Source organism: Homo sapiens, chromosome 13 (assembly GCF_000001405.40).
Source record: "Homo sapiens chromosome 13, GRCh38.p14 Primary Assembly".
Classification (NCBI taxonomy): Eukaryota; Metazoa; Chordata; class Mammalia; order Primates; family Hominidae; genus Homo; species Homo sapiens.
In genome coordinates, this window is record NC_000013.11 from 50,922,862 (window position 1) to 50,949,287 (window position 26,426).

The 26,426-nt window shown below is 37.6% G+C and overlaps 1 protein-coding gene across 12 annotated transcripts in view; it reads left to right on the forward strand.

Annotated features, from left to right (window-relative positions):
- RNASEH2B (ribonuclease H2 subunit B) overlaps positions 1-26,426 on the forward strand; it is a 60,783-nt gene that overhangs the window by 13,184 nt on the left and 21,173 nt on the right. For 11 of the 12 annotated variants that reach the window (XM_047430613.1, NM_001142279.2, XM_047430617.1 and 8 more), the window contains exons 2-8: positions 4,546-4,617; positions 6,614-6,721; positions 7,822-7,898; positions 12,024-12,138; positions 20,460-20,533; positions 22,566-22,671; positions 25,126-25,207. In XM_047430613.1, the coding sequence (XP_047286569.1) occupies positions 4,546-4,617; positions 6,614-6,721; positions 7,822-7,898; positions 12,024-12,138; positions 20,460-20,533; positions 22,566-22,671; positions 25,126-25,207 (634 nt within the window). Of the gene's footprint in view, positions 1-4,545; positions 4,618-6,613; positions 6,722-7,821; positions 7,899-12,023; positions 12,139-18,989; positions 19,194-20,459; positions 20,534-22,565; positions 22,672-25,125; positions 25,208-26,426 lie in introns of those variants that run through there. The other variant, XM_047430618.1, reaches the window with a different exon arrangement.

Genomic DNA, 26,426 nt, shown 5'->3' on the forward strand with positions numbered 1-26,426 from the left:
TTATTCTACAAAGATTTTATTCAGCTACTATCAACATAGTCAAAGAACTAAAGAACATCATGTCTAAAGAATGAAAGGAAAGTATGACAATGAAGTTTCACCAGATAGAGAATATCAATAGAGAAATTGTAAAAGGATCTAAAGTCTGGATTTGAAAAGTATAATAACAAATGAAAAATTCACTTGTGAGCTCAGCAGCAGATTTGAGCTGGCAGAGGAAAGAATTAGAAAACTCAAAGACAGGCCAATTGAGATTATCCAGGGTGAGGAACATAAAGAAAAAGAATAAAGAAAACTGAACCTGAACCTAGTCCCAGAGACCTGTAGGACACCATCAAGCCTACTATTATATGCATTATGGGAATCCCAGATGAGAAGAGAAGGGTGGAAGAGGAATATTTGAAGAAATAATAGCCAAATACTTCCCAAATTTGATTTAAAAAAATACTTGTCTGCACAACTAATGAGTGCAGGAAACTCTAAATAGGATAAACTCAAGGAGATCCATACCTGTGTGTGTGTCGTAGTCAAACTGTGAAAAGACAAAGAGAATCTTGAAAGCAGTAAAAGAAAAATGACTCATCAAATAAAAGGGATCCTCAATAAAATTAACAGCTGACTTCTCATTAGAAGCTATGGTGGCTGGAAGTGAGTGGGATGACATATTTAAGGTGCTGAAATAAAGAGAGTCTCAACAAAGAATTCTATATCTGTTAAAATTACCTTTCAAAAATTAGGAAGGAACCAAGACATTCTCAGATAAAGGAAAAAAGAATGTGTCACTAGCAGACCTGTCCCACAAAAATTATGAAGGGAGTCCTTCAGATTGAAAGGATAAGGCACTAGATGATAACTTGAATCCACAAGGAGAATAAAGAGCACTAGTAAAGATAAACACAGAAATAAACATAAAAGCACAAATATATTTTTGTAACTCATTTGGGTGATAGATAACTACATAGAGCAATAATTATGAACTGTGTTAACAGGCTTATAATATGTAAAGATGTAATTTGTATGACAGTAGCACAAAGGAGAGGAGAGGAAAAGGAATATGTGCAGAAAACTTACTACTCTTGAAACTCAGTTAATATTAATCTGAACTACATTGTGAGTTAAGATACTAATTGTAATTCCCAGGATAACCACTAAGAAAATAACTCCTTTAAATAAAAGAAACAACAAGGTATCAAAAATGGTACCCTAGAAAACATCTATTTAACTCAAAATAAGACAGTAATAGGGGAATCCAAAGGAATATGACATACAGAAAACAGAGCTAAATGGCAGATGTAAATCCTACCTTATCCTACCTTATCCATAATTATATTAAATATAAATGCACTAAGCACTTCTATTAAAAGGCAGAGATTGGCAGAATGGAGGGAGGAAAACTCCTGACCCAATTATATCCTATCTACTAGACACACTTACACACACTTTAAATTTAACAACAAAAATAGTTTGAAAATAAATGAATGGGAAAAGATATACAATACAAACAGTAACTGAAGGAGAGCTGGAGTGGCAATACTAATATCACATGAAATCAACTTTATGATAAAAATTATTACTAGACACATAACAGTCTATTGGGAAGATATCATAATTATAACATACATGCACCCAATGACAGAGCCCCAAATTACATGAACCAAAAACTGACAGAACTGAAGGGAGATATAGACAATTGAACAATAACAGTGTTTTTTTTAGAGAAAGAGTCTCAGTCTGTCACCCAGGCTGGAGTACAGTGGTGCAGTCACAGCTCACTGCAGCTTTAACTTCCTGGGCTCAAGTGATCCTCCCACCTTAGCCTCCCGAGTAGCTGGGACTACGGGCACATGCCACCACATGTGTATTTTTTGTAGAGACAGGGTTTCACCCCGTTGCCCAGGCTTGTCTTGAACTCCTGGGCTCAAGCAATCTGTCCACCTTGGCCTCCCAAAGTGCTGGAGTACAGGCATGCACCACCATGCCCAGCCAAGATTTTCTTTTAATTACTGATTTCAAAGTATTATTGTGATGTATAGTTTTATTCCTGTTTCTTATGCTTTGAGTTCATTGAGCTTCTTGGATTTGTAGTTTTCATCAAATTTGGAACATTTCAGACTTACTTTCTTCAAGTTTTTTTTTTGTTCCCTCTTCTCCTTTTGGAAACTCCAGTTATACATATATTAAAATGCATAAAGTTGTCCCGTAGTTTACTAATACTCTTTTTTCTTCAATTTTTTTCTCTGTGTTCCCATTTTAGATAGTTTCTATTACTGTGTCTTCAAGTTCATTAATCTTTTCTTCAGCTATTAATTTTATCCAGTGTATTTTTCATCTTTAGAAATTCAATTTAGGTATTTTTTTTTTGCAATCTTCTATGTCTCTAATTAACTCGTCTATGAGGATTGTTGTTTTTAAAGCCTTTGTCTATCAATTCTATTATCTTGTATATTAATACCCCTCTTTCAGTAATTGATTTTGTTTACTCATTATGGGCCATATTTTTCTGCTTCTTTGAATGCCTCATAGTATTTGATTAGATGGCAGACATTGCGAATTTTGTCTTTTTGGGTGATGAGTATTTTGTATTTCTATAAAATACCCTTGAACTTCATTCTTGGACACAGTTACTTTGAAAGAATTGGATACTTTTAGGTCTTGCTTTTATAATTAGTTTGGTAGGACCAGTCCAGCAAATAGTTAGGGCTGACTCTTCCCTACTACTAAGGACCCTTTTGAGTACTATGCCTAAAGCTCCATGAATTGTGAGGTTTTACAGTCTGTCTGGGAGTAGGCACAATTCAAGACCCTGAGGAAGTATGAGGTACTGCTCCCTCGAATCTGTTTAGATGGGTTTTCTCCTGGCTTTTGGGTAGTTTCATCACATGCATGCACTGATCCTACTTAAGTAGGACCCTCTGCAGATCTCTGGGGTCTTGTTTCTTTTTAGCCCTCTCCTTTCCTGTGTGCTGACCTGTGAACCCTAACCACCTTGGTGTCTCTGGAATTCTTAGCATCATCTCTTCAATTCAGTGAGTCAGCTAGGCTTTACTGGGTTCTCCCTTTCTGCACTGTGGCCTGGAAGCTCTTTTAAAGCAGTAAGCTGGGCAATCATAGGGCTCATCTCATTTGTTTACCATCTCTCAGGGACTACGGTCCTGCATGGCTTGTGTGCAGTGCCTTGAGAATAGTTGTTTCATATATTTTGTCTGGTGTTTTGTGGGTTTTTGTTGTTGTTGTTGTTTCAGAGGGTTAATTGAATTCCTGTTATTCCATCTTGGTGGAAAGTAGAAATCTCAATTTTTTTTTTCTGTAGATACTTAATGTCACTATTAGTTTAAGAAAAAATGGTCGTATTTTAACCATTCATGGGTAAGCCAACTTGTAAAATATGTCTGCTCTATTTAAGCTTATGAAGATCTGAAGTAGAGTAAAGGGAGTGGGGGCCATAGAAAAATAAAAGAGAGTAAAATCTCCCTTCTTTCATTCTTTCTCTTTTGCTCTTTTGGTAAATTGTTGCTATGCCCCCTTACTAATCAGAGCCCCATTGTTCTTTTTGGTAATAGGAACATTTTAAGAGTTCTGTGAATATGCCACTCAAAATATATGAAGAGTGTTACCAATAAAATTGTCATGGTCTTTATGTTTTAATCTATGTGATAAAAACTTGATGGTTTTGGTACAACTGGTTAACTTCTCGAAAAAAATATTTAAATTGGATTTCCTCTTAATATCTTATACCCAGATATAGTCCAGATAGGTTAAAAATATAATTTCTAAATATTAAATGAAAATATAGGCAATTCACAGAATCTTAAGAAAAGGTCTTTCTAAGTGTGATACAAAGGATACAACCATAATGAAAAAGATCAATATGATTACATGAAGATTTTATGTCTTTTATATGGCAAAAATCATTATAAGCAGGATTAAAAACATAGTCGATATCCTTAGTATATAAAGATACCTCACAAAGTAGTAAAAAAAAAGCCAAATATCCCACTGGGAAATTAGGCAAAGGATAGTTGTGTAAAAAATATAGGTTTCAGGTAAATATGTTTACAATGCTGTACTTCATAATAGTAACAATTACAAATTATAATACTCATAATAATAGCTATCATTTATTTCATGTTTCTATTTGCTTGATTACGTTAATGTTTTCAGTAGATTGGCTAATTTGATACTTTGAAAAACAAGTATACTATTATTGTCAGTTTATAAATGGCATTTGAGACAGGAGATTAAGACCCTTGCCCAGGGTGACAAAGCTATCCAAGTGGCTAAGCCAAGATTATCACCCAGGCCTTCTGATTCTAGACCCCTGCTTCTCATCATTCCTCATAGCAATACATTTAAACTACCTGAAATTCAACTGCAACTTGCAGAGAAATTGGTAATTTGCTCAAGATCACAACATTTGTAAGTGATAAATTGAGTTAAAAATCTTACAAAAGTCATATAAGTAGAAGAAAGGAAAACAGGGTAAAGTAAGGTGAGCAACAAAACAGCTGTGTGTTTTAATTTTAGATATTCACGGTTTATTTTCAGAATATTTAAAAGATGCTTCAAAGAAGATGAAAAATGGGCTAATGTTTGTAAAACTGGTTAACCCCTGTTCAGGTAAGTTCTCTTCTCATAACTTGAATGTTCTTAAATGTTGTGGCTAATGAGTATATACACTTTTATGTCTTTGTGTCCTTGCTCTTTCTGAATAGCTTTTAAAGTTAAGATGGCACCGTGAGGAGAAGAAAACAAGGTGATGACATTACTAGTCTTCCCAGATAATTCATTTGACTTAAACATTTTAAAAATTTCTTCTCATAATTTTAATTCACAGAACTGTTCAGCCATCAGAAATACGGGCAAAACAAAAAAGTAGCATGTTTGAGTTCTCTTTAAAAACAGATTAATTTTCTTTGGCTTCCTTAAGCCAACTTTTCTTAGTTATTCAACATTAGCCTCCATTTATATCCATTTTATCTTATAAAGTAAAATAAACAACCAGAATTTAAAAAAACAAAAACAGAAGGCTTTTACTTGACATGCCAAGATTTTGATTAGGTTCAGTTTTAGCTATACTTCCCTATTTTCTTCTGACCAAAAAGTAGTACTTTTTTTCTCCGTCAGGGGACTTTTTTTTTTTTAAATGATAAGCATTGTTTATTGAAGGGATTCATATCTTATTGGAAAAATTTTATTTTAACTTTATATTCAGTGCATTTTCAGTTTTGTCTTCACATTTTTTAGGCAAAAATATTAAAGTGTATTCTAAATATTGAGTAATATGGGTGATAGTGTTTATCTCTGTGTGTAATTGTTTTTCCATTAATTTATAAGGTTTTGTGTAGACACCTGATACTTGCCATATTAGAGGTTTCTCCTGGTGACAGTAATACGGAATAGTAAAAGTATGGGAGGGCCACTGAGTAGTGCCTTGTTGTTATAGAGACATGTAAATAGAAGCAACAAGAGAAGAAACACATTCCTGACTTTCTCCAGTGTTCTTTTCTTCAAAATGAAATTGACTGTAATTGGTCAGCTATATTTAGAAATCTTAGTTATATATCAGACTAAGTTGACGTGAGAAATATTTCTTCAAGAGAAGTTTTAGGTAGCAGTAAAGGTTCTAAAGCATTTAAGAAAAGTACAGGTACAGAAGAAAGCCAGCCCTCTTTTAAAATTTCTGTTTTATCTAAATGCTCATAGACAACAGAGGAACAAATGTTTTTATTTGCTACATTGGCAGTGGGAAAGTAAAGGCTAACATTTGCTGAGTTCTTACTATGTGCCAAGTATTGGTTTAGGAAATTTACATGTGTTCTTTTTTTTAATTCTTATAAAAACCCTTGAGGAGGTTCAGTATTGTCTCCATTTTACAGATGTGGAAACAGCCACAGGAAGGTTTATGTAACTTCTCCAAGGGCACGTGCCCAGCATATGGTGGAGATAGAGTTAAAGTCAGCATCCTTGTCTCCAGAGATTGTGCTGTGGTTAAAAAAAAAATTTTTTTTTCATTAGTTGAAGTGATAAAACATGCAGATGTGCACAGTCTTCACCCTCTTGTGCCTCCTCCCTTTTTTTTTTTTTTTTTTTTTTTTGGTTAAGAAAGGAAAGGAAAAAAAATTCATTCAGTTGAATAAAGCTTTACTCACTCCCTATGGCTTCAAGCATGTCTGTCTTTCTCACTTAGGGTTGGCCTGTGGCTTGGTCCCTGTCAGACCCTGTGTGGGGAGAGCCACACACTGCCCAGAGGCAGGGACCCACGTGCCAGCTCATGTCATATGGCTGAACTGTTGTGTTTTGATAGTTTAGGAATGGATATTCCCTCTTGATCTGATGGAGGATTTAAGGACAGGCTTTGTATTAGTTAAGATAAATGACTTGCACTTTCTAATTTTTTGGTTTAAGTCCAGTGAGGATTATGGAGCTGGAAAACTACCATCTATGTATAATAGCTGTAAGCTTTCCTTGGAATCAGTTTTTTAGAATAGACCTGTGTATGTTTATGTTCATATTAGGAACATTCGTCAGAGATACTGGATAGTCTTTTGGGGTGTGTGTGTGTTTGTGTGTGTGTGTGAAAACTTACAAATAAAAGACAGATTTGTCTTAACAGGAGAAGGAGCCATTTACTTGTTCAATATGTGTCTACAGCAGCTGTTTGAAGTAAAAGTTTTCAAGGAAAAACACCATTCTTGGTTTATAAATCAATCAGTTCAATCAGGTAGGTGACTAGTGTAAGCATTTCCAATAACTAAACACATACTCCAGCTTTTCCATTCTTCACACGTGGGGTTGTGGGTCTGTCACCGGGTTTGGAGTCTGGTCACTGGTTTAGCCTTCCTTGGCATGAGAGCAGGTTTAATCAAGGAGAAAGGAAAGATCATTTGAGCACTAAGGTTAAGTCATCTCCTGTGTGTCTTAGACGGTAGGAAGTTTTAAACTAGCAACTCTGATTTGTCTCCTAAAACAGTGACACATCCTGAGTTAGAAGTTAGATTTGTACATGGGGCACATATTGTGTTGATTAGAAACTCTTTTGAGGATCTTTGTGTTTTTAACATGTTATTTCCTTGAAACTGGATACTGATATGGCTTCTAACATAGGCTAGAGCATAACAAAGTTTCTTTAAAATGCTTTGTCATATACCTGCCTGCCCACCTGCTCCCCCACCCCCATACACACATACACCCCCCAGCACCAAAGTTCTGTTTCTTGTGGTGTTCCCTTAATTTGGGGGCAGTGCTGACTAAAGGAAGAGTAGGCCAACGGAACTGTTCTGCCTCATGTTCTGGGGTGGGGGCAGTCAGTGGCTATTCAAAGAATCCTACATCCCCCTGCCCACAGACCACGGAAGGGACTGTGTATAGAGAGAATGGCACTGCTTTCCCATGGCTTTGTCCTCAAAAGCACAGGAAATTACATTTTACTGCAGCTTTATAGATAGACTGACGATACAGGTTCCCTAACATTGCCGTCTTCTCATTCTGTCTGTGCTTCCTCCTAACCCCTCGTTTTTCAGGGGGTTGGGAGGCTGTGTTAAAAATGATTTCTAAAGAAGAAATGGAAAGTTAAAGATCAATTTCAGGGTCTTGGTTCTCCTCTCCACACAGGGATTTGAAGCTCTTTGGAGTAAAATCTCATAGAGCACATTCTGCCTTTTGAGAGAATCACATAGACTCTGAGGCCTGTATAAGAAGAGATTTGAATTTGGAATTTCACATATATTTTTCAACACTGTTTTTCACTTTGAGATTAAGGTGAAATAGCCACATTGTCTTTCCAAGACGTTTAATTCCCTTCATCCTTTTTGTAATCTGCAGGAGGTCTTCTCCATTTTGCCACACCTGTGGATCCTCTATTTCTGCTTCTCCACTACCTCATAAAGGCTGATAAGGAGGTGAGTTTCCAGCTCGGAGCATCCACAGTGAGGAAACAGAATCAACTATTTTTGTTTGATCTCCTCTCTCTCCTTTTAATGATCCAAAGGTGGATTCTACCTTCAGATCTATTATAGTGACTAGAGAAAACATGAATCATATGGGCCAGTGCAGGACAGAGCACTACTGCACAGGCCAGAGAAGCAGCACCTTACTCTTGATCCAGTCTGACCCTGGCTTGCTTGTGACCTCTGACTTGCCTGACTCACTGTGCTGTGCACCTTACTGCTTGACAAAGCCTGACAGCTAACACTCCTTTATCATTAAGTATTCCTTACACTTGAAATACAAAACAGGTATTTAAAAATTGACCACATGTCTTAAAGAGTCTCTTCTTTAGTGAGAGACTGTGGAATAGGTAAACTGGAGCGGGTCCAATAGAAGCTCATTAATGGTGATGTGCTAGTTGAGACTTAAGGAATCCCAGATGGATAAAATTTACCTTTGGAATAGAAATAAAGACACAGCTTACTAATAGTAATAATTTTAGCCAGAAGTTCTGTAATATTTTGGTCTCAGGATACATTTACAATTAAAATTATTAAGGGTTCCAAAGAGCTTATGTTTCTGTGGGTTCTAGCAATACTCTTAGAAATTAAAACTGAGAGATTTAAAAATTATTTATTTAAAAGTTAAAAATAATAAGGCCATTACATGTTAACATAAATAACACATTTTTATTGAAACAAACAACCAAATTTAATGAGGCGTGTGGCATTGTTTTACATTTTTGCAAATCTCTTTAGTGTTTGGCTTAACTAGAAGACAACTGGATTCTTATATCTGATTCTGCATTCAGTCTGTTTCCATATGTTATTTTGGTAGGATTATATGAAAAATATGCGGCCCCATACATCTTTGTAGTTAGAAAAGGAAGAAATAATGTTACAGCCTTTTTAGATTATTGTGGATATTCTTCTTTAATACTGCCTAAAAAATCAACAAGTAGTTTTTTAAAGTTTAGTTGCAATGTGAAATGTGAAACTTTGTCAGTTAACTTTCTATGCTCTGTTACATTAAAATGCATTGGTCTATCTTGCACTTAAAATGGATCTTTTTACCAGTGTATGATTTTGTAACATCATGCTTTGGTCATTTGGAAAATATTGATTTGCTGAGTTATGCATATCTTCCAAATGTTGACACATCTCATTTTACACACACACACACACACACACACACACTCCCTTTTGTTAATATTACCACTGATCTCATCAGAAAGCTCTTTAGGTATTGAGAAGCTGTCATAGTGGCAGATAGAAATTTTCTACAATTCTAATTTTTGCTTGAAAGCTCAAATTTTATTATTGGCCGCAAATATTGTCAATCTTTCCCGTGAAATGACAGGCTCACTTCGTTCATATTCTGCCTAATACCGGGGTCTGAATCACCGTAATTCATAGTGGGTTTTTCAAATAAAAATGATATCCATGAAAAAGCAGCTGGTTCTGCTTGCAACTCAGCCAGCCCCAGGAGAACATGCTCTTCCTGGTAATCAGCTTATCTTTGGTTAAGCAGCCAAAGGCCTTTAGCCATACCTCACTTTCATCACAGATAATTTACAAGACTTGTGTTCAAGGGCCAAGATTTAAGTAAAATTAATTGCTTTTACTACTTGCTCAAGGATATTCTTAAGTGAAACTGGCATTTTTTAAACTGCACATAAATGGCGGTGAGGATCCAAATGATGACTAGGACAGTCTGGTGCCACCACCAGACTCGTGCTAAAGAGCCAGCAGTTTTACCCACCATTGCATTTGAATCATCTGTGCAGATGTCCACACAGTGAAAATGCAGATAGCGTCTTAGCAGTATTAGGAAAATAGCTTTGAGCTTAGGTACTTCATGACCCAGGGATCCATCAACCATAGTTGGAAAATCTTTTAATTAATAACTTTGAGTGATAAGTGTCACTCAAACAGCTTAGAAGAATCTGGTTTTTTTGGACTCTCATGTTTGCATAAAGTTTGAACACTTATAAATTTCTTACTTAATCCTTAGATCAAATTCCTGAAACCTCCATTTGGTAGGTAAATTAATTTAAGTTGCTGTAAATACTGAAAGTCATAAAGTATCAATGCATGTTTTCTCTTGATGCAGCTTAGCCTCTTTTAGCCTCCTCCTTCCCTGCCCTCCGCCCTTCACTGTGAATTAGTGAAGTTTTATCCCTTCGTTTAATCATGTGTCCCATTATCTGGAAGCTACTGTGATGGCCGGTATAACGAGGGCACACAAGCTGTGAGGCTGGTAAGCCTCGTGTCTTTAAGGAACAGAAATGGTCCTAATCACCACCAGGAACGCCCTGGGGAATATTCAGGGAGGAATTTGTAAACCTCAGTGGCTCACCTATGTGGTGTTTTCTAGGATAAATTAATGAGCAGAAAGACACCAACCAGCCTCAGCAAATGTATTGATCTGCACTTAAGGCTCCCCCTCCCCTTTTTGATAGCATTTCTCCATCTCCCATTAGGACCATGACTCTGGGGGATTAACCCTGTCTTGGCACTCTGGGCACCTCCAGGGTGCTATGGCGAGCTCACGTTGACAAGTGCAGAATGAAGCAGAAATGCTGTTCAGGGTGGCCTTTGGCTTTCATTTTAAACCGTCGTACTTCCCAAACACGTCTTCCCAAGTGCCAAAAATGCCCTTTAAAGTAACATTTGAGATGTTTAGGTATTTCCTTCTCTACATTTTAGACATGATCATTTCCTATTTAGTTAAAAATTATTGATACACACTTTTGAAATGTGACCTGTTCTTTTAAACTTTATTTTAACATCAGTAAAAATAACTTTTTTTCTAGGTATCCCACTGCTACTAGCTTTATAGTCAAGGCAGGTTGCTTATTGCATTTCCTTCAATGTATATATGGTAAATAAAAATAAGAATGAAACACTAGTTAATTACAAAATTATTTTATATCATGATTGTATGGTAGTCCATTACATATAAATATTGTTTTAGAGTAGTCAAATATTTAAGATATTGATTGATCATGGAAGACTATAGATTTAAGGTAGAAATCTAAAGACAGTAAGACTTGGGAAAAATCTGTGCATTATTCTTACTATTTGAAGGAAAAAGAACATTTAAATTGAGATAGTTCATGGCACTAGTTAACCTAAGAGAAAGTATGGCAAGCTATCACGTGTTCTTAAATGATTGAGAAGATTTTACCCTTAAAACCCAAGAAAGCTGCATTTGCAGAAATTGATCAGATGCAGTTTTTGTGTCTTCAGGAGGAGTTGTCAGTACACGAGAGGTAGAGCGAGCTAGAAGTGGGTCATGGGCAAGGCCATACATCTGGTACAGTCTGGTGTCCCCAAATCAGGGGGCTAATACCTTAATTTAGACAAACTTCACCTCTACTTGCTACTAGTACAGTTACGAAAAACTAGACCTAATTCCAAAGAATGATGTTGTGAATCCATATGGTCTGCACTTCTGGCCCACTGGCAACCAGGCCATATAAACTTCTGTGGCTGAGCCTGATTTAGCCTGTCTGCAGCTTCCCATGACTTCTCCCTCTGGCTGTCTTTTCTTTTATTCTGGTCTAAATTTGGAAGCATTGTGAGGCAGCTTTGACAGGGGTAGATTCACTTTTGTATTTTCTTTTTGTGGCGGGTGCTTCTTTCATCATCCCTAGAGTGATGATGGGGAGGCAGATGTATGTCTGGGCCTGGTCTGGGCTTGTTCCAATGTGACAGTCAGGACTCTTGCTCTGTGACCACAGCTGGTTCTTCAAATTGAATGGGTTGGACCATCCCCAGGCAGTCTCCACCATCTTTGCAAGCTTCTGTGGCTTCCAGTGCTTTTGTAGATTGATTTTCTTCCCCATTTCATTTGGGGACTGTACACCCAAGGTAGATGGTGTGCTGTGTGGGACTCCAGTGCTCACAGGAGCTTCCTGAAGGGAGCTGGGGTCCGTCCTAGAGCCTGTCCCATTGTAGGGATTCCTTAGATGGAATAGGTGGCTTCTGCACTAAGTTTAAAGGCCCAGCCATGAGTTAATGTGTCTTTTTCTCTTTTTTTCTGAATGTCTTTGTTGAATGAAATGCTTGCTTTCCAACTAACTGTTTTTTCAGGGGAAGTTTCAGCCCCTTGATCAAGTTGTGGTGGATAACGTGTTTCCAAATTGCATCTTGTTGCTGAAACTTCCTGGACTTGAGAAGTTACTTCATCATGTGACAGAGGAAAAAGGTATGGTATAACTTAAAGGCTTATGGCTGGTAGAAAGGATGGACCTTGCCTAAGAACGTGGCTGCTTACAGACACACTGAATGTAAGGCTTATTCTGTGTCCACCATAGGGAAAACTATCATTCAGATTTGCTAACACTGCCAGCACTGTTCCTCTATTGCTTTGGAGTGTTTAGTCTTTGGAACTACAACCATGGCAGTCTAGGGCCTACGTCCACAGGGCAGGAATCACAAGGTGTGGCTTCAGTCTCACTTCTTCTTTGAACTAGTTCTGTGACATCAGGCAAGTCACTCAGCTGCCTTCTGCCTCAGATGTCTCATTGTAAAATTACGTAAAACCTGTACCTTAATAGATGGAAGCATTTATCGAGCACCTTCCAAAAAGCATATGTTGCACATTAGTGCTAAGCTCTAGATACTTATGAATAAGACATTGTCCTTTTCTTCACTTTGCGCCCAGTCTGATGGGGGTCAATGACAAGCTGAGCAGTGACCGCACAGTGTAACGGAAGTGAACTCTGAATTTACTGGGGATGCACAGGACAGGTTTCTAATCTGGCGGGGTTGGGTGGGGAATGTAGGTGGGTAGATGTTGTGTTGCTTTCCTGGGGGAAATGACCTCTTTATGGAGTCCTGAAGGATAGTCAGAGAAGCAGTGTAACAGAGGCTCAGATGTATGGAAAAGTTTGTCAGGTTCAGGAAGTTCCAAGGAGTTCAAAGTATAGGATTCTGGGGAAGGATGTAGGTTGGTAAGGAATGAGGCGGGAATGCTGGGCATGGGTCCAGATGGTAAAGGGCCCTGTGTGTGTTTGGACTTTGCTTAATGGTAGTGGAGTGTCTGTGAAGTTTTAAGCATGGCAGTCTGCAGTGTGGAGAGTATATTGGAGAAGCCAGGTCCACCAAGGCTGTTGCAGTGATCCAGACAGGAGATAATGGTGGCCTTGATCTTAGGAGATAGAACAAGAAGAAAGTAGCCATTTAGAGATGGACCCAACTGCATCTGGTTGTTGGGTGGTGGTCAAGGAGAAGGAGGAGTCAAGAGTGACTTCTCGGTTTGTGCCTGACCCAAAGGATGTGTAGTGGTGGGATCCTGGACACAGGGAACATGGGCTGGAGGAGCAGGATAGGGTAATGAAGAGATGCGTTTTCACTATCATTCATTTAATTTTTCAGAGGGAAAAGTAAGGCAGTGTGTGTGAATGTGTTTTGACAGGTTAGAAATAGTATAAAAACTTGGCTTTGGTGTCTTAAAAAATCATCCAAGTAGTTTCAGGGTTAATATGGAAACAAAGTGTGGGAACCAGAGCATCAGGCTGATAAGTTGTGGCTGTTTGGGTCATAGATGGTTTGGCCAACTATGACAGTTCTTCTGGGACCAAGAAAGTGGTGATTCCAAGAAGTGTAAGCTTACAGTGGGAAAGAGAAGAACCTTATTGATTGCATTTTATGTTTAAGGGGTCCAGTAAATTCATACTTGGCCACACTTGGAGCTCCAGTTTGGAACTGAGGGGTATATGGTGCCAGGGTTTTATCAAAGCAGTTCCATTAAAGACATTCCCTGATGCTGAGTTTGGCAGAAGACAGCAGTCTTTTTGTGGGTGACCTGAATTAGCCCATAACCACTTTTAAAAGATAAAGTAATGAAGAATAATTTAATTAAGCCATGTTAATTTTTGTCAACTTAATGCAAGCTGAAAATGCAGTTAACTCATTGTCCAGAATTCTGCTATTAGCTGTATAAGAACAATCATCTTAAAACCCAGAAATCCAGATTTAGAAACAATGTTAGTGCCTCAGCATTTGTTTCCTTACAGTCTGCAGCCGAGAGCAAGAGGCTCTCTCTGTGTCATCCCTTCCCTCTTGTACACCGAACTCCTGACCATTTATTGCATCATTATCTGAACTTGTCTTAGTCTCCTTTGCTTCTCAATATTGCCTAACTTTTGGAAGTTCTGTACTTCCATTTTCAAAGTAGCTATATTATTAGCCTTTATATTTGCCAGATTTCAAAAACCCTAGGCCTCAATTTTTTTCTTTATTTTTAAGTGATGGGCAAAACATAAAATACTTTAGAATAAATTTCACACAGTAAAAGATGTATTCAATCTCTAGAGGTTTGGCAGTTTCTTTTTATCAAATTCTTCCCTTAATAAGCTGCAGCCTGTGAATCTCAAAATAATGGAAGTTTTAAAAACAGAAAGAAAAAGATTTTTATTTTTATTTTTTTATTTTTATTTTTTTAAGACAAGGTCTTGCTCTGTTGCCCAGGATGGAATGCAGTGGCACAATCACGGCTCACTGCAGCCTCAATCTCTGGGGCTCAAGCAATCTTCCTACCTCAGCCTCCTGAGTAGCTAAGACCACAGGCACAAGCCACCACACCTGGCTAATTTTTTCATTTTTTTTGGAGAGATGAGGGGGTCTCTCTATGTTACCCAAGCTGGTCTTGAACTCCTGGGCTCAAGGGAACCTCCCGCCTCAGCCTCCTAAAGTGCCGAGATTATAGGTGTGAGTCACCATGCCCATTCTCAAAAAGATTTTTAAATGGGGGGAAAAATACGTAAGATTCTCAAATGCCTCATCCTTAAGAAGATATTGGAAAATCAAATATCTAAAAATTAAATATATAAAACCTAAGCGGGCTTTATTGCAAGAATTCATAATTGGTTGAGCATTTACCATAATTTACCATATTTATGCATTACAAAATTGTATGATTATCTCAAAAGACACAGAAAAGGTATTTGATAAAATTCAGTCATGATATATATTATCAGCAAATGAAGAATAAAAGGGAACTTCCAAGGGCATCTATGGCAAACTTAAACAGCTAACATCATCTTCATTGTAAAAGACTGAACACAATCTTCCCCCAAGACTGGATACAAGAGAAGGATGCCTGCTCTTACCACTTCTATTCACCATGTGGTGGATGTCCTAGCATGTGCAATAAGACAAGAAAAAGACATACAGATTGGAAAGTCAGTAGTACAACTGTCTTTATTCATAGACAATATTGTCATGTATGAAAAAATCCAAAAGAATCTACAAAAGAAGTTACTAGAATTGATAAGCAAAGTTTCAGGATACAAGTTCAATATACAAATATTAGTTGTGTTTCTATATACTGACATTGAACAATTGGATAATGGAATAAAAACATACCATTTATACTACCATTAAAAATAACATTCTAGTGCTAAATGTAACACAATATGTTCAAGACCAATATGCTGAACATTACAAAATATTGCTGAGAGAAATTAAAGAAAAATTAAATAAATGGAGAAATAGGCCATGTTTGTGGATTGGAAGACTCAATATTTTTAAGGTATCTATTTTCCCCAAATTACACTATAATTACACTATATAATTACATTATAGATTCAGTGTAATACTTAGCCAGCTCCATTTTTTTTTCTTTTTTTTTGGTAGGTATTGATAAACTGATTCTAGAATTTATATGACTATGTAAAGCAGCAGAAGCAGCAGTCTCCAACCTAATTTTGGCAGCAGGAACTGGTTTTGAGGAAGACAATTTTTCCATGGATGGGGCAGGGAGGGGGATGGCTTTGGGGTGAAACTGTTCCACCTCAGATCATCAGGCATTCGATTCTCATAAGGAGCACACAACCTAGATCCCTCGCATGTGCAGTTGACAATAGGGTTCGCACTCCTATGAGAATCTAATGCCATCACTGTTCTGACAGGAGGCAGAGCTCAGCCAGTAATGCTCACTTGCCTGACACTCATTCCTGCTGTGTGGCCCAGTTCCTCACAGGCCATGGATTGGTACCAGTACATGGCTTAGGGACTGGGGAGCCCTGATGTAAAGGACCTATAATATTCAAAACAATTTTGAAAAAGAAGAATTTGGAGAACTTACACAAACTGAATTAAAGACTTACTATAATCAAGAAAATGTGGAGATCAGGCACAATGACTCATGCCTGTAATCCTAGCGGTTTGGGAGGCCGAAGCAGGAGGATTGCTTGAGGCTGAGAGTTCGAGAACAGCCTGAGCAAAGTAGCAAAACCCCATTTCTACAGAAAGTTTAAAAATTAGGCAGCTGTGGGCCAGGCACGGTGGCTCACGCCTGTAATCCCAGCACTTTGGGAGGCCAGCGCAGGTGGATCATGACGTCAGGAGATCGAAACCATCCTGGCTAACACGGTGAAACCCTGTCTCTACTAAAAAATACAAAGAACATTAGCCAGGTGTGGTGGTGGGCACCTGTAGTCCCAGCTACTCGGGAGGCTGAAGCAGGAGAATGGCATGAACCCAGGAGGCAGAGCTTGCAGTGAGCCAAGATCGCGCCACTGCCCTCCAGCCTGGGTGACAGAGCGAGACTCTGTTTCAAAAGAAAAAAAAATTAGCCAGCTGTGGTGGTATGTGCCTATAGTTCCAACTATTTGGGAGGCTGAGGAGGAAAGATCACTTGAGCCCAGGAGGTCGGGGTTACAGTGAACTGTGATCACACAATTGCACTCCAATTTGGGTAACAGAGTGAGACCCTGTCCCTAAATTTAAAAAATAAATAAAAATAAAATAAATTTGGTGTTGGTATAAGGATAAATATATAGATAAATGGAATAGAATAGAGAATCTAGAAATAAACCCACACTTATATGGTCAATTGATTTTTTTTTTCCAAAAGTGTGAAGATAATTCAGTGGGAAAAAGGATAGTCTTTACAACAAATGTTGATGGAAGAATTTGGTATACATATGAAAAATAACGTTGATTCTTACCTCATACAGAAAAATTAATTCAAAATGGATCACTATGTTAAATTCAAAAATGAAAATTATTGAGCTTCTAGAAGAAAGCATAGGATAAAATCCTTGTTGTCTTGGGAGGCAAAGATTTCTTAGGACACAAAACCCACTAACTGTAAAAAAATTATAAATTGTATTTTATCAAAAGTATTCTCTTTTGTTTTTGAAAAATGCCATTAAGAAAAAAGGAGATTGTGAGTTGTGGGACAGTTGGAACTTACCTACCTGGCTGTCCACGGCTTAAAATGATATAGCCACTTGACAATTTCTTACAACTCAGGAATTCTACTACTCCCTGGTACAAAGTAAGGAACTACTGCTAGCTGCAACAAAATGGATGAATCTCACAGAAATAATGTTGAGCAAAAGAAATTGGACACAAAAAGTATATACTATATCATTTCATTTCTATGGTGTTCCAGAATAAAGCAAGAATTGCCCTATAATGATGGATGAGTGGTGACCTGTGATCTGGGTAGCCATGGGAGAATTGACTACATAAGGGTTCCAGGGAACTTTGGGGGATGATGCTTACATGACTGCATACATTTTTCCAAACTCCTCGATTTGTACATTTAAAATGGGTGTGTCCATTGTGTGAACATGAACATTGCGTGAACACCTAAATAAAATTCATTTTTAAAACAATATTTACTGATCCAGCACTAGAAGCTAAGCCTCCTGATTTCTAACACAGTATTTATTTTTACTTGCCCCTTTCCCCCAAAATAATATTGGCTCCTTTTCTCTCTATACTTCCTACCTCCCATGGGATGGAGAGATGGAATGTGGGAGGCAAGGCCAGTGTGAGCACTGGCTCTGAGGTTTAGGCCTCGATATTCAGGAGAGTGGTGTAGGAGGAAGATGAACCACTGGGTTTTAGACACATGGAGGCTTAGTTCAGGGCTTTGGGCCTCCCGGTTAGTTTGTTTAGTCTTGTTGATCTAGGAGGAGATCACACCAGATGAAAGGATACAGTTGACTTTGGAGGAGGGTGAAGCAGAGCTGGGAAAAGAATCAGATAAGTCATTAGAGACATAAAAAAATAGAAAGCAATTTTATATATGCCATGGAGGAGAGGTTGTTAGGAGGTACTGAGGAAAGTGCAGACCTAGTGATCTTGGTAAAGTGAACATCAGATCCACAGCTTTGATGTCAGCATGGTTGGGAGTTGGGTGCTCTTGCCTACTTCCTCAGTGACTTAGGAGAGTTTACTTCATGTCACTCAGAGCCAGTCTTCGAAGATGGGGACAAATCATGGTTTATTAATTGATTCTGAGATTCATTCTGATCATTCAATAAGAAAATGTATAAAATGTGCCTAGCACAGACCTGAATAAACATTAGTTTCTTATGTTTTATTAACAAATCATATTTTTCATCACAATATCTTAGCTAATATTATGTATTTGCTAAGTGGCAGGTGTTGTGCTCTAGGATTTGTATGGATTATCACATTTCATGCTCAGAATAGCCCAGTGAGAAAAAAACCTCTCTTTACACATGGGGGAACAGGCTTTGAGCACGAGGCGGCTTCCCAAGGAGACAGCATGTGCTGGGGTATGCATGAGCCCTGGTAGCATGGCTCAGTCTGTGCTCTCTGCCCCTTCTTAGAGAATAATTCCCAGAGGTAGAGGAGAAGCCTCCTAGTGGGGCTCAGGGAGTGGGAGACAGGAAGGAAAACAGCAGCAGATGGTAGACATTCTTTGAGAAAATTTGGAGGTAGAGGCAAGAAAGAAGTGAGATGCCAGATCAGGGTAGGATTTTCAGGAGAACCTTGAGCAGTGAGCTTCTTTTGGAGTTTTTTTTTCCTCAGGCAATGAACATAACTTCTAAAAGCCATTCAGCGTCATATATTTATTTAGTGATTGCTGTATGCTCTTAAAATTCCCCTGGTTTGTACATCGGTTGGGACATGGGCTCCAGGGAAATTGAGTCCGGTCTCATTGGCTTTGGCTTACAGTAGGCTGTTTGCCCAGGTAGTCCTGGCTCCAAAACAGCAGACATTGCACCTTGGAATTCTGACACTCCTGACAATGCTTTTGCACCTGTCCCTCTTTTTTGTTACTGTAGTGACATGTCCTGAGAAGATGGCTGCAGATGTCCAGCCCCCAATCCATCCTGCCTCATCTTGCCTGCAGCATTGACAACCATAGGCTGAAACAGAGAGGAAATTCACAGGAACTAAGGCCAGGGACCTCCCAACCTCTCTCCCATACAGTTTAACAGACTGCAGAAAATGAACCCTGAATGGGCAGTTTTCATTTCCCATCAAAAGGTGGGAGGGAGAAAGAGCCTCATTCTATATAACTCAGAGGTGGTAAATTCACATCAGGCCCAAGGGTTGCTAGTGGTCATAAAGATAAATCCTGCATGGACAGAGGAGGCTGGAATAGAAGTGCTGCCCTTGCTAATTGCACAGACAGAAGAAATCCCATGAATGAAAAGGGTTGCAGAGGAAATCATGGTTTAATGTCATGGTATATAAGGCTGGGTGGATTGTGGGGAAGTTAAGTGTAATTTATAAGAGGTGAAACTTTTATCTCCATAAAGGGCCAGATTGAGCCTACCATAAATCTAAATCTTCTCAAATAGCTATGATTATGTTGGTAATATGTTAAAAGATAGATAGATCTTTTTTTAATGCTCCCCCAATCCCCAATACCAGGCCACTACTGAGTAGTTAACAAGATTTTTTTCCTGAATGTATGTAGTGAACTTCATAGATACCTGCATTTCGTTTCAATTTTCTTTATTGGGATTTTCATTTTTATTTTAAGAAAAAAAGTGGTTCATTGAAAACATTGAGGTGAGCTTAAAATTATTCAGAACAGTTAAGACTGCTTAGTATGCTAATGTGAACACAAAATATCTGAGACAGGTCTCAGTCAATTTAGGAAAGTTTATTTTACCAAAGTTAAAGATGCACCCATGACACAGCCTCAGGAAGTCCTGAGACATGTGCCCCACGGTGGTTGGGGGTACAGTTTGCTTTTATGTATTTCAGGGAGACATGAGACATCAATCAATATGTGTAAGATGTACATTGGTTTAGTCCAGTAAGGCAGCAACAACTCAAAGTGGGGGTTTCCACGTTAGACATAGATAGGAGACAAAAGGTGGCATTCTTTTGATCAGCCTTCCACTGAATACACAATGTAGTCTGGCTTGAGTGTGGAGCCATTGCTAGGGACCGGCCCTCTTCTGCCCAGAATTTCCCTGCCTCCTGTCCCTATCAACAAGATTATTTTCCTTTCACATTAGTTTGCTGAGGTTTTAAAATTACCTTTTCTACAGAGTTGTTTGTATAATTTGAAGGTTTTCTTAAATTCTTACTCATTTAGTGGTTGATGACTCCTGAGGTAGCCACATTACTACTAACATTTAAAAAAACATTTCAAGTATGTTCTCAGGTTTGTAAATTAAGCTTTTCAAGAATTTAAACTTACAAAATATTCTTTAAATGGTTAACTTGTATATGATACAACCTTAGGAGTTTATTTTTTTTTTAATTCATTGTGCTGAGTCTTTTTTTTCTTTTAAGGTAATCCAGAAATAGACAACAAGAAATATTACAAGTACAGCAAAGAGAAGACATTAAAGTGGCTGGAAAAAAAGGTATAGTTCCTCTCTAGTGCCTTGTGGTAAAAGTAAAAATTCAGTTCTCTAAGAAATTTTCAGAGAAGGCAGTAAGTCTGAATCCAGAGACCATCTTGTATATTCAGTGAAAAGAGGAAAATTGTGTAGAGATACCAAGTATGAGAAGAAGGCTTTGACTTTTTAATCCTCCCTAACTTCTGTATCTCTGAAGTTAGCTTTATGTTTTCTTGTGACCTGCATTCTCGTTTCTCCCTGCTCCTACTACGGAATGAAATAATTTGTTGGTGTAGATTTGAGTCTTCCAAGTAAGAGGATACCAGGCTTGGCACTTGTTGGCCACTGTCAGTCCTGCAGGTGTCTCCAAGGGTGATGCTTACACACAGCCAGGCAAAGGGACCCAGGGACACAGCCAGGCAAAGGTGTTCAGGTTTAGAGGAAGTATGTCCTGCTCTCAGGGTCTGGACACTGATGAGGGGTCATCTTACAGGCAAACCCTGTATCTTAGTGATTCTAAGAATCTTGACCTAATGGATGGACTGGGGCAGTGAATTTCAAATCAATTTAGTAGGTAACAACCAGTATTTCTCTTGGAATGAAACAGATTGTGATGGGATGGGACGGGACAGGACGGGATGGGATGGGACGGGACGGACGGGACGTGATGGGACGGGACGGGATGGGATGGGACGGGATGGGATGGGATGGGTTAAAATATAGCAGAGGAAGGGCAGGTATTAAGTATGGCTCTGTGAAATGTATTTATATGTGTTTAAGTATTGGGTTGCTGTATATTTCTTACTATGGGTTGTGATAAAAAAAAAACTTTGAAAGCCACTGGTCTAAGGATAATATGTACTTTCACATTGATTAAGAATCTCGCTAAACCATATAGAATAATGATAAAGTTTTTGCAAGATCAGTGGATACCAGTAGTTGTAGTACTGTTTCCTAAGATTCTCTTCCATCTTTTGTGTGAAAAGTCATGTTTGTCTGCATGTTCTCTCTCATAAGTGGGAGTTGAACAGTAAGAACACATGAACACAGGGAGGGGAACATCACACACCGGGGCTGTTTCGGGGGTTAGGGGCAAGAGGAGGGAGAGCATTAGGACAAATATGTAATACATGTGGGGCTTAAAACCTAGATGATGGGTTGATGGGTGCAGCAAACCACTGTGGTACATGTATACCTGTATGACAAACCTGCATGTTCTGCACATGTATCCCAGAACTTAAAGTATAATAAATAAAAATAAATAATAATAAATAATAAATAAATTGTGTTTATTTGTCATACCATGTTACCAGGCTCATTGAAAGCCTGGGAAGCTGGAAATGAGTCCAGTAGAATAATCAGTCTCCTAATGTGCAAAGTAGTGGAAAGATTTAGAGTGCCATGTTTCATTTTTTATTTGTGATATAGTAGTAGTAGTATTCCATGTAGGCGAAGAATGAGAATAAATGCGGAGCAGAATCCTTGATGTTTACTTTTGCTCTTAGCCAAGGAAAATGACATGAATAGCGAAGAGGAGTTTATACTTACTGATTATATTTCCTAGGAAGTGGGAAATTTATATTATTCTATTTAGGAAGTTATTACATATAAATTTTGTGCCAGGTTCTATTGTAAGGGCTTTATTTACATATATTACCTCATTTAATTTTCACAGTAGTCTTATGAGGTGAATGCTATTTTTTTCCCCCATTTCACAGATAGAGCCACAGAAAGGTTAAGTAACTAGCCGTGGTTACAGAGCCAAGCCCAGCAGCCTGACTCCAGAGTCAGCTCTCAGTTATCACAATATGTTGCCTTCTCATATTGTGTAGGCCATGGAAGTCCATGTATTGAGATCATCCAGATATTGCTGCCACTCAGCCTTTCTTCAAATGGGCAACCATTTCTCATCTTCTGGTGTCTGGTGAAGATACTTCTAGGTTCTCAAATACTTCTTTGCAGATCTCTTAAATGGTCTGAAGGCCACCTATGAATTCATAGATTTCTAAAGTTAAGTTGAAAATACCCTGCCTTTCCCCTCTTGGTTGCTTCATAGGTTAATCAAACTGTGGCAGCATTAAAAACCAATAATGTGAATGTCAGTTCCCGGGTACAGTCAACTGCATTTTTCTCTGGTGACCAAGCTTCCACTGACAAGGAAGGTAAGTAAAGCATTTTATCAGAAAAGATTTTTGTCTGGAGTAAGTTGCTTATGTGTAAATGCCTATCTTAGGATTTAAAAATCTTAATATCACAGAAGCCTCATATTCCTACCAATGCCTCATACACATTGTGGCAGGTGTGCATCTTATTTCAGAAGCGAAGAATATTTCTACCATAGGTTACTTCTGTCATTCATTGATACTTAAGTTATTTATTCAGCAAATATTTCTTTTACATTGATAGTAGTAACAACCCTGGCTATCATTTATTGAGGGTGTATTGTGTGCCAGGCCCTTTGCTAAGTTGCCACTATACAAACATGATCTCATCCAACCCTCCCAGTAAATTTCATAATGAGCATCTTGAGGCCCTGTGCAAAGTCTCACAACTAGTAAATGCCAAAGCTGAGCTACTTATGGAGCTTGTCTCTGAAGCCCACACTTGTAATCTTTTTGTGATACTGTTCCTGTGGCACAGTTGTACTGTTCCAGTGGCTGCATCTGTTTGCATTTTCTTCTCAAGATGCATGTTTCCTGATACAGGGATCAATATATTTTGATTTTAGATGAAAATTGATTTACTTGGCAATTTTTCTTTTAGGTTATTCTTTTATAATCTAAAAAAGGTATATTATTTTCTTTTCCAAGTAGAGTCCTCTTATTTTTATATGTATAGTTGAATAAGAACAGCTATATAATGCAGTTAACAATCTCAAATGGTGAGACAGAAATTATTCTGACGTTAAACTCCAATTCATTGTTCCCTTATTCAGGGTATACATATGGCTTTAGTCATTACATAAATAAAAACTAGGAATAGTGGCCTGTTTGTGATTGATAGTAATTCAGGCAATCTGATTTGCAGGAATCTACCTTGCATGTATAGGTAGTTGGCTACTGCCATTCTGGGAGTGGTGGACAGCACCTTTGCCATACTGAGTTACCAGCTGTCAGTGTCTTTAATTGGCTTTAACAATAGAAGATGAGGGATTGAGATAGATGATTAATGGATAGATAGGTGGGTGGATAGATGCATCCATGGATGGATGGATGGAACCATAGATTTTGTTTTAAAAGTAGGAGAAGGGATGTTAGAGGTTATTTAGACAGATCATCTCATTTTTTAAATGGAGAGGTAGGTAACTTATCCTCAAGATCTTCTGTTCTAAGTCTAGTGCTTTTACCAGTACTCTACATATTAAGGTTCTGGGCTTGGCTATATTGCCATTTAGTGTCCTGACCATAAAGTAAACTTTACATATTTTACATTATTTCATTTTTTAGATATTTAGGTTGGTTTGGTACCAGAAGCAGCAAATGAACTATATGTTGACTTTCTTAAAATAGTTTTCTTGGTCTAGTCATGACTCATTGGATAATGACTATCCCAGATCCATGAGCAATTTTAAGAAGGGTCAAATGATAACTTTCAGTTCTCCATTGACAATGAAAATCTCTTACTGAAGACTTTTTGACATCAGGTGGTCCCCAGACGGCAGTCATTTTCTATGTAATACTGAGGCAAATTGTTACTTTGACTTGAGAGCAGAGGAGAATGGAAAAAAGGAAGTGAGTGAATATCCCAGCAGCAAACCTGGGGTCTGCTTTTGGTGCTTTATATCCCCACGTGGTTATCCCATCTTATGATTAAGTTTGATTATCTGCTTGTATTCTACATAAAATACTGAATTCAGGAACAGAGTTTTGAAACATTTTATTGTCTTCTTATGTAACTGTATTTCTAATTGCTGCCAGAGCTGCATTTTAGTACTGAGAATCCAAATGCTTTAGAATTAATGATGATAAATTCTGCTGAGTTAGTTGTTTAAGTTTAAGTATTTTATTAGTTTGGGAGTGTGTGTGTGTGTGTGTGTGTGTGTGTGTGTGTGTGTATGTAGAACTATGTATATAGAACAATATGTATGTATAGAACTATATATATATATTTCAGGGTTCTTATAAAGCAAATACCTAGTAGTAGAGACATGGTATTTTATTTCTCTTAAATGAGTACACTCATTACTGTTGAATAATTAGATTTATTCTTTATTGAAGCAGGCTTAGAAAAGATTACCCTTTTAAAAAAGACATGACTATTTCATATTGTTGTAGATGATTTTTAAACTTTATTTGTATTCAGTGGTTTCAAATAAGAAAGCAACCCTGAGTTTTTGTTTTTAATGTCATTTAGGGAGCATCTACTGTATTATACTTGTTTTATCTTATATCTTTGGTATCATCACATGTCATATCTCATCCCTCATATCTTCCCACTAGTCTGACCGATAGATATTACTATCCCCATTTTACAAATGAGAAAACTGAGGCTAGAGCTTAAGTGAGTTCCCTTTATCCAGATAGGGTCAGAATTTGAATTCAGGTCAATTTGACTATAAAACCACCATAATTACTATTTTTTTTTTTTGCTTTCACTCCTCCTTCTGTTTCTTTCAGAGGATTATATTCGTTATGCCCATGGTCTGATATCTGACTACATCCCTAAAGAATTAAGTGATGACTTATCTAAATACTTAAAGTGAGTATTGATTATCTTCAGTCATAATGAAGTACCATTTGCTTCTTGGTTTCCCCAGCAGTGGGGTTTCCTTATGGCTTATCATATCACTGTTTATGATACAAGATTATTCTTCAGCTATGTCATATACTTTGTGCTTTGGGGATGATTTTTAATGGATGATTGGAATGAACTGATTTGATGGATACGGATTGCAGGAACTAGTGAATGTCAAGATTGGAATTATGGCTTGGTCTGATTTTAGAGGATTAACTATGTTAAAATTTTATCCTCAATTATACTTAACTAATTTGGTTCTTTGTGATCGTTTTAAGAGGAAGAAAGGAGGGATGGAAAGAGTAGATGGAATATAGACTTTTTTTTAATTTACAAAATATTGATATCATTTTCACTATTATCACTAGATGTTCACTAAAGGGACTTTATGCCAAAGACTTGGAAGTCAAAGTAATATGAAACACAATCTGTGTCTTTGAGGGGCAGAAGAAGGGTTTTAAGAATGGTTTAATGTATGTTCCTTTCTTTATAAAGAGCTTATACATTTAGACTTTAAGTTGAAAAAGAAGTGTTAGAAGTGTTTATTTTCTAGATTTTTGCAAAATCGTTACTTAATTTTGTTGTTAAGATTTTATGTGTGTGATGATTTAATAGCTTTTCCTGATCCTTATAAATCCTTTTTATCCTCTGAGTCATGAAGATAAAATGACTTTTTAATAGATACAGTTGTTGGTTTTAGCAAATTCCAGAGGTCCTACTTTAAAAAACAATGATTGGAAACTGGTTTCTATAATAGTTAAAGTGTGCTGAAAGCCTGCTTCAAATTGATAATCATATCCTTCTGCTTAATATATCCCCAGATTTCTATGCTGCTTGTCTTGTTAGAGACCTCATGTCTTTGTACTCCATTGTTTGTATAGATTCCTTTCTTTCCACTAACATTTTTAAGTTTTGGTTGAAGAGTTCAGAAGAAAGGTATGCCAATTAAACTGCTTTCTAATGGAAGAAAAGTTGAAATTTATGTGGCTTTTTGTGAACAGTTAAAATGATTTTCACCTTTAAATATATGTTAGCATCTTCACTATGAAGAAAAAATACTCCAACACCGAAACACAAATTTATAGAGGCTAAAGAAAAGGAACTCTGTTCCAACAGATGGGTTCTAATTTTATTTTTTAGTTCAGACAACACCAAAACAAGGACTTACATATCAAAATAAAGA